The sequence below is a fragment of the Homo sapiens genome, chromosome 2 (assembly GCF_000001405.40).
Source record: "Homo sapiens chromosome 2, GRCh38.p14 Primary Assembly".
In the NCBI taxonomy this organism is placed as follows: domain Eukaryota; kingdom Metazoa; phylum Chordata; class Mammalia; order Primates; family Hominidae; genus Homo; species Homo sapiens.
The window spans coordinates 181094927-181104362 of NC_000002.12; the positions used below are offsets into that span (position 1 = coordinate 181094927).

Consider the following 9436-nt stretch of genomic DNA (forward strand, 5'->3'; position numbering starts at 1 on the left):
ATTGCAGCGCTATTTACAATAGCAAAGATTTGGAACCAACCCAAATGCCCATCAATGTTAAACTGGATAAAGTAAATGTGGCACATATACACAGTGGAATACTATGCAGCCATAAAAAAGAATGAGTTTATGCCCTTTGCAGGTACATGGTTGAAGCTGGAAACCATCATTCTGAGCAAACTATTGCAAGGACAGAAAACCAAACACCGCATGTTCTCACTCATAACTGGGAGTTGAACAATGAGAACATATGGGCACAGGAAAGGGAACATCACACACTGGGGCTTGTCGGGTGGTGGGGGGCAAGGGGAAGGATAGCATTAGGAGAAATACCTGATGTAGATGACGGGTTGATGGGTGCAGCAAACCACCATGGCACGCGTATATTTATGTAACAAACATGCATATTCTGCCTATGTATCCCATAACTTAAAGTATAATAACGAAAAAAAAGAAATCAGATTCAAAAAGTGAATTCATTGAAAACTGGTAGGTTCCTTGGGACTTTATGGGGTTCAGGCAACACCTTCTGTTCTAGGGTCTTTAAAATATATGCCCCTGAGAATAAAATACCTATGCACAAATGAGAGCCCATCTTACCATCTTAGCTTAGTGACATCTAACAAAACTCCAATGTATGAGGCATCACATTTTTTAGCTACTCTACTATCTGAGGGTTCACTGATGATTCATGTCACCTCCTTCTAGGTTTTTTTTCTATCTTGCTGGCTTCTCTCCTTCCCTCCTTTTCTCTGACCTTTACTCATTTTCGTTTCTTTTATCCAGAGGGAGAAAAAACAAACAAACACACAAGAAATTCCTCCCTTCATTTCCTGACAGCTTCCCCTTTCTCTGATGGCTTGTTTACTGCTGATATCCAGGCTCTGCTCCAAGTGGGGAAGGAGTAACCAATCAAGTTATTTTCAAATAAGACCGTTTTCTTCCTAACAGACATTCTTGTGCTGGCTATTAAAATCTTAAAAATTTAACATCATTGCACATACAATGACAAATGACAAATGTAACAAGTAAGTATAATCCCCTTTTGTTCCTGAGGTCTCTGCCTCACTAACTTGAACACTCCATCTACGTTTTCTTTCAAAGTAGCATTGTATTATTTTCAGGTGATCAGTGTTCTTTCTCTGCCCTCTCCCTTCTCCTCTCTCCTTTTCCCTCCACCTCTCCCGTGCGACGATGAGAGGGATATTAAGCTCTCTCTGTCAGGAAGAGTCACTTAAGACTTGGTGTCCTTTAAACTGCTCCTTGGAAGCAACTAATATTCATTACTTTTTAACGACTTCTTGCCCACCTGAATGTGGGTTTTACATTCATATACATCCTCTTCTTTACCTCCATAACCATATGAGAGAGGTATAATTATCCTTTTTTTTTTTTGAGATGGAATCTCACTCTGTCACCCAGGCTGGAGTGCAATGGCATGATCTTGGCTCACTGCAACCTCTGCCTCCCGGGTTCAAGTGATTCTCCTGCCTCAGCCTCCTTGGTAGCTGGGATTACAGGCATGCACCACCATGCCCGGCTAATTTTTGTATTTTTAGTAGAGACGGGGTTTCATCATGTTTGTCAGGTTGGTCTCGAACTCCTGACCTCATGATCTGCCTGCCTCGGTCTCCCAAAGTGCTGGGATTACAGGCGGCCCACACCCGGCCCCCATTTTTATAAATGTGGTAACACAAGATTACAGAAATAACCGGTTCAAGACAATACAGCAAATTCAAGACAGAGTAGGTCTTTGAAAGTAACTCTGTCCTCAGGGATTTGAAAGCAAGTTTGTCTGATTTTGAAATACTTTCTATTATTGCAGCTTCTCGTTTTTCTTAAATATTTGGCTTGACTGAAAGAATTACGGCTGCACTAATGTAAAATAGCTACCAGTATGTCATCTCTCAAATTACTATTAAAACTCAAATTTTCCACAAATGTACCTCATATTATGAGCCTTATTATGCAATTTTCTGTACTCCAATCACAGAAAATATCTAACCAGTAGATATTTCCATTCTCGAAGGACTTTAGAGTATATCCCAGATTTCTTAGTTCAGACTCATCCCTCCCAGCCTTCAAGCCCCTTCTCTGTATGTCCTTAAACACTACTATATTAGAGTTCTCCAGAGAAACAGAACCAATAGGGTGTGTGTGTGTGTGTGTGTGTGTGTGTGTGTGTGTGTGTACAGAAAGAGAGATTTATTTTAAGATATTGACTTACATGATATGGCTGGTAAGTCCAAAATCTGCAGGGTCTACTGGCAGACTAGAGACTCAGAGAAGAGTTACTATCTGAGTTCTAAGACTGCCTGGAGGCAGAATTCCCTCTTCACTGAGGAACTTCTTTCACTTAAGGCCTTCAACTGATTGGATGAGGTTTATCTATGTTAGGTAGGGCAACCTTCTTTACTCGAAGTCTACTGATTTAAATGTTAATTCTATCCAAAAAATACTTTTACTGAAACATCTAGAATAGTGTTTGAACCAAGTTTCTGGGTATCATGACCTAGCCAAGGTGACAGACAGAATTAACCGTCATAACTACTTACCCCTAAGCTGCTGTTTTTCTTAGATTTATATCTTCGTGTGCAGAGAAGAATGTCGGGAAGAATATACACTAGAATGTTTACAACTAGAGAGAATGTGCCACCTTAGGCTACGGAGAAAAGGGAGAAAATTAATTTTGGGTAAGTACCATTTTGAATTGCTCAAATTTTTTGAGTGCATTGTTATTTTCAAATTAATTTTAACCAAAATAACACATCACATAAAGTAAAATAGTACTACAAAGCTTGTGAGGAAGTTCACAGGCCTCTTTTCTACCTCTCCATGCTCTGATTCACATTCCCCACAGGCATTCACTTTCAACTCTTTAAGCTATTTTTTCTGGTTTTAAACTCTATATTTTGAATAACACATTTGTACTGCTATTTCTTGGCTTTCCCATTTCAGACATTATCTATTGACATGACATTCCACCATGGAAAATGGATATTTATACTAACCTCTTACCCAGCCCCATACACTCTTCTACTTTCTCTCACTCCATTTCCCTCAAATCATGTCATATTTGGGTCAAATATATATTGAATGTTACATTAATATGCCAGCATAAATATAGCAATGTAGTACACTATATTGCTTCCATAGCAAAGCAATATAGTGTAGTATAATGGCATCTTCTTTCTTATACAACTTTCTCCTCCTGAAAATCACTTAATTTTATTTTGCTTACTTGCCTTCCTATGTTCTTATTGATAACTTACTTCTAAACATTTATTAGCTCTCTAAACATCCTCTTAATATAACAGCTGGACACATAGCTAATCTATCAGTGTCTTCTTGAAACAAATGATAATGGATACAGCAAAAGCAATACTAAGAAGGAATTTTATAGCTATGAGTGTTTTTATCAAAAAAAGAAGAAGAAAAAGCTTCAACTGAACAATCTAATGATGCATCTTAAAGAACTAGAAAAGCGAGAGCAAACCAAACCTAAAATTAGAAAAAAAAAATAGAGCAGAAATAAATGAAACTGAATTGAAAAAAAATACAAAAGATCAATGACACCAAAATTTGGTTTTTCAAAAAGTTTTAAAAAATTGGCAAACCTTTAGCCAGATTAAGAAAAAAAGAGAAAAGATCCAAATAAATAAAATCAGAAATGTAAAAGGAGACATTATAACTGATACTGCAGAAATTCAAAGGATCATTAGTAACTACTATGAGCAACTATATGCCGATAAATTGGAAAATCTAGAAGAAATTGATAAATTCCTAGAAACACATAATCTACCAACACTGACCTGGGAAGAAATCCAAAACCTGAACAGACCAATAAGAAGTAATGAGATTGAAGCTGTGATAAAAAGTCTCCCACTAAAGAAAAGCCCAGGAACTGATGGCTTCACTGCTGAATTCTACCAAACATTTAAAGAAGAATTAATACCAATCCTACTCAAACTATTCCAAGGCTGGGTGCTGTGGCTTACACCTGTAATCCCAGCAAAGTAGCTGGATGTGGTGGCACACACCTGTAATCCCAGCTACTCAGGAGGCTGAGGCATAAGAATCACTTGAACCTGGGAGGTAGAGGTTGCAGTGAGCTGAGATTGTGCCACTGCACTCCAGCCTGAGGTAACAGAGTGAGACTCTGTTAAAAAAAAGAAAAGAAAAGAAAAGAAAAAGAACAGAAGCTATTTTGAAAAATAGAGGAGGAGGGAATACTTTCAAATTCATTCTATGAGGCCAGTATTATCCTGATTCCAAAACCAGAGAAAGACTGTCAAAAAAGAAAACTACTACAGGCCAATATCTCTGATGAATGTTGATGCAAAAATCCTCAACAAAATACTAGCAAACCAAATTCAGCAATACATTAGAAAGATTATTCATCATGACCAAGTGGGATTTACCCCTTGGATGCAAGGATGGTTCAACTATGCAAATCAGTCAGTATGATACATTATATCAACAGAATGAAGGGTGAAAACCATATGATTATTTCAATTGATGCTGAAAAAGCCTTTGAGAAAATTCAATATTCCTTCATGGTAAAAACCCTAAAAAAACCTGAGTGTAGAAGGAACATACCTCATAACATAATAAAAGCCATATGTGACAGACCCACAGCCTGTATCATGCTGAATGGGAAAAAATTGAAAGCCTTTTCCTCGAAGATCTGGAACATGACAAGGATATCCACTGTCACCACTGTTATTCAACATACCACTGGAAGTTCTAGCTAGAGCAATCAGACAAGAGAAAGCTATAAAGGGCATCCAATGTGGAAATGAAGAAGTCAAATTATCTTTGTTTGCTAATGATATGATATATTTGGAAAAATCTAAAGACTCCACAGGAAAACTATTAGAACTGTTAAATAAATTCAGTAAAGTTGTAGGATACAAAAGCAACATATGAAGATCAATAGCATTTCTAAATGCCAACAGGGAACAATATGAAAAAGAAATAAAAAAATTTACAATAGCCACACATAAAATTAAATACCTAGTAATTAACTTAACCAAAGAAGTGAAAGATCTCTATAACAAAAACTGCAAAACATTGATGAAAGAAACTGAAGAGGACACAAAAAATTGGAAAAATATTTCATGCTCCTGGACTAGAAGAGTTGATATTGTTAAAATGTCTGTATTACCCAAAGAAGTGTCACCAATGGAGGCTACAGAACAGCAAATATTGCAGAACAGCAAATGTTGCTGCCTGATCCTTCCTCTGAAAGCTTTGTCTCAGAGGGGCACCTGGCTGTATGAGGTGTCAGTCGGCTCCTGCTGGGAGGTGTCTCCCAGTTAGGCTACTAATCTAATCTTTTTTCATTCTTTATTAATTTTTATTCTCATGCCTTGGTATCCAATAGTTATAAACCTCTAACAAGACTGACAAAGAGAAAAAAAGAGAAGACCAATTTTTCCTGTCAGGAATGGAACAAGATACATCACCGTAAATGTCAAAAGAACAGTAAGAGAACACTATCAACAATACCATTTACATAAATTTGGTAACTTAGATAAAATGGACAAATTCTCCCCCAAAATCCATTAATTATCACAACTCACCTGTTGTGAAGTAAATGACTTGAATAGCCCTATGTCTATTAAGAAAATTAATTTAAAATTAAATACTCCCCCCAAAAAAGGAATCTTCAAGCCCAGATATTTTTACCTACAAAAAATTCTACCAAAAATCTAAAGAAGATTTAACACCACTTCTACACAGTCTTTTCTAGAAAAGAGGAGCTGAGGGAACATTTTCAGTAATTTATATAAAACTAACAATAACCTGATACCAAAATCAAACACAGAACAAACAAAAGTACAGATCAATATCTCTCATGTATATAGACACAAAAATGCTTTATAAAATTAATAAATAAAATTTAACATTTTGTAAAAGGAATTTGTCATGACCAAATGGGGTTTATTCCAGGTGTGCAAGCCTCTTCAACACTGAAAACTCAATCAATGTAATTCAATCAATGTGGTCCAATAGACTAAAGAAGAAAAAAAAATCAAGCTGTAGACAAGCTATAAACCTGGAGAGAGTATTTTCAAAGATATCTGAAAAAGAACTTATATGTAAAATATTTGTAAACTTATACATAGAACACTCAAAAATCAACATTAAAGAGAATTCAATATGAAAATGGACAGAAGATGTGAAGAAGCATTCCCCTGAAGACATACTGATGGCAAATAAGCACATGAAAAGATGTTCAACAGTCTAGTCATTTGGGAATTGCAAATTAAAACCACAATAAGATATTAGCATACACCTATTAGGACAGCTAAAATAAAAAATAGTGACAATACCAAATGATGGCGAGGATTCGGAGAAACTGAATCACTCATGCATTGTTGATGGGACTGTAAAATGGTACAGTCCCTTTGGAAAATAGTTTGGCTCTTTCTCAAAAGACTAAATATACTCTTACCATATGTTCCAGCAGTGAGCATTGACACTCCTTGATATTTACCCAAAGAAGTAGAAAATATATGTTCACACAAAAACTCACGCATGGATGTTGATAACAGCTTTATTCATAATTACCAAAACTTGGAAGCAACTACAATGCCCTTCAGTAGGTGAATGGATGAATAAACTGTGGTACATCCAGACAATAGAATATTATTCAGCACTAAAAAGAAATGAGCTACTAAGCGGTAAAAAGACATAGAAGCACCTTAAATACATGTTACTAAGTGAAAGAAGCCAGCCTGAAAAGACTACATAGTATATGATTCCAACTACTACTACATGACCCAGCGATTAAACTCTTGAGACTTTATCCTAGAGAAATGAAGAATTATGTTCATTCAAAAACCTGTTCACAAATGACTATAGCCTCATTATTAGTAATAGCCAAAAACTAGAAGCAACCTAGATACCCTGCAACAAATGAATGGTTAGACAAACTGTGATACGTTTGTGTGATAGAGTACTACGTCACAAAAAAAGGAATGAACTACTTGTTACAGGAAGTCACCTGGATGAATCTCCAGAGAATTATGCTGAGTGAAAAGAGCCAAGCCCAAAGATGACCTACTGTTCGATTCCATTTATATAACGTTCGTGAAATGGTAAAATATAAAAATGGAGCACAGATTAGTGGTTGCTGAGAGTTAAGGAAGGAGTGGGGAGATAATTGTGTATGGCTATAAAAGGGCCATTTGAGTGATGCTTGTGATAATGACAGTCTTCTGTATCTCATATGCCAATATCCTGGTTGTGATATTACATTATAATTTTGTAAAATTATAATTAGGAGAAACTGGTAAAAGTACATAGGATCTCTCTGCATTATTTCTTACAACTGCATGTCAACATACAATAAAATGAAAGGTTTGAAAAATGTTTAAAATCATATTTAAAATAGTATGTAAATTAAATCAGAAGTAAGTTTGCTATGATGTTTTTCAGTGTCAATGCTTATGCTTGTGAGCATCGATGCAATTTTGTCCAAAAGCTAGCTATGAGGATGAACCAAGGACCAACCTCGTCATGAGAATATCTCATTTTGCAATATTACTTCTTAGACACATGTTCTTCCCAATGCCTTTGCCCAAACAGAACCTGCTCACTTCTGATTAGTGAATAGTCTACATTATTCAATAATATTTTCAATATCTCAAATACTGAGTTCACAGCATGTGTTAATTAAGGACATCTTTTAACCTCAGTAGAATATAATATTGATTTCATGCCTGGTTCCAAACAACTATCTATTTGTAGTTAATAAGTTTTTTACATATCATTTAAGAACTTTTTATAGAATTTAGCACCTGGAAAAGTGGCATTGCTTATATTGACCTTTAAAACACTGAATAATATGAATATCAACAAATGAAGAAAATAGGCATATCAGTAGTAGAAAGTTTTTATCAGGGCATGAAACAAAAATCAAGTATTCCAACGTATTTTTCTTGTATTAGGGAGCTGCAGATATACTGCCTTTTCTGTGCCTCACCCATGCTGGGCTTCCTTTGGTGATCTTGCATGCCTGCTCCAGTCCCATTAGGTCGGTTTCTTCAGGTCGCATGAGCCAAAAACCGTTGAATTTTTTCCTCTACAACCCTATTTTACAGCTTCCCCTGAGTACTCAAGGTTTTCTCTAGGACTTCTCAGATACGTTCTTTTTTTAAGGCTTAAAGACTAATAAAAAATAAAGAACTACTAAATCAGGAGTACAAAAATAATGCTTTATGTTAAGTGTTTTGACAGATGAACATTTTAACACAAAATTTTACAATGGACCCTTTTCTTCTCCTAGACCTATCTGCCTCTCCCTGTGGCAATGGGTGCAATCTCTTTTAGAAGATTAAGGCTGAAGTCTAAAAACACAATCCTTTGTGAAAGTTGAGGCTGGGTTCACAAGGTCCCAATCCCATTCCCCTTCCTCCTCCTCCAGGGCATAAAGAGACACTGCCCTTTATGCATTCCCTACTTCTTTTCATCTCCTAATAGTTCTCAACTTTTCTACCTTTGGACATCTGGGCATCAACTAATGCTGTCTCCAATGTACTTACGGTTCAGCCAGGAGCACAGAGAGCCTGAGCTATTCCGACTGTCTTCTTGAGAATAGTCCTCAACCCAGGCCTGTAGAACTTGTCAAAGTATGAGAGAGAAATGGTTTTAGTATTTTATTACTTTAATTTCTGCTTTTTTACAATAATTTCTCCCTTTAAACTACTGCATTTCTTTTGACAGAGAAAGAGTGAAGCTCCTATTTCTGTTATATTTATAATAAATTTACATTCACATTAAATGTGACAAATATTTCTTTAAATGGAAAATTTGGAGGGTGGTTTTTTTGATTTATAAAATCCACAGAGAAAAGATTTGTTAAATAATGTGCCAGTTTTTAGATTTAAAATTTATTTAATTTAATTTAATATATTAAATTTTATTTAATTTTAAATAAATTTAAAAAACATAATCCTTTGTAATTGTGATTTAAAATTTATTTAATTTTAAATAAGTAACACATTCACATGGTTTAAACTACAAAACTACAAAATGTCTCCCTTACACCTTAGCTTCCAACTCACCTAATTCTCCTCTGTTGAGGTAATCTTTTCAGCTTCTTGTCTATCCCTCCAGAGATACTGTACACATATAAAAGAAAATATATATCATTATACAAGTGGTAGGTCCCAAAACATGATTACACATCTTGCTTTTTCTTCCACTTTAGCCAAATGTCTTAGAGACTGTTCCATAGCAAGACATAAATATTCACTTCATTTTTACTTATGAATTACCATAATTTATATAAATAGCTCTACTGATCAATAATGAGTCTCTTAAAAAATAATGGTATAATCTTGTACTTATATCAGGTCACACACAGGAAAATACAGCTGTAGGTTCTCTAGTGTAAAATACATCTCTAGAAATTCAACTCCTTTTT

At 35.4% G+C, this 9436-nt stretch overlaps 1 long non-coding RNA gene across 1 annotated transcript; it reads left to right on the forward strand.

Annotated features, from left to right (window-relative positions):
• The first annotated feature begins 552 nt into the window (after positions 1 to 552).
• LOC107985831 (uncharacterized) lies at positions 553 to 2695 on the forward strand. The gene is made up of 2 exons (XR_001739227.1): positions 553 to 1028; positions 2579 to 2695. It is a non-coding gene; the product is annotated as an uncharacterized LOC107985831 (long non-coding RNA).
• Positions 2696 to 9436: the final 6741 nt, after the last annotated feature.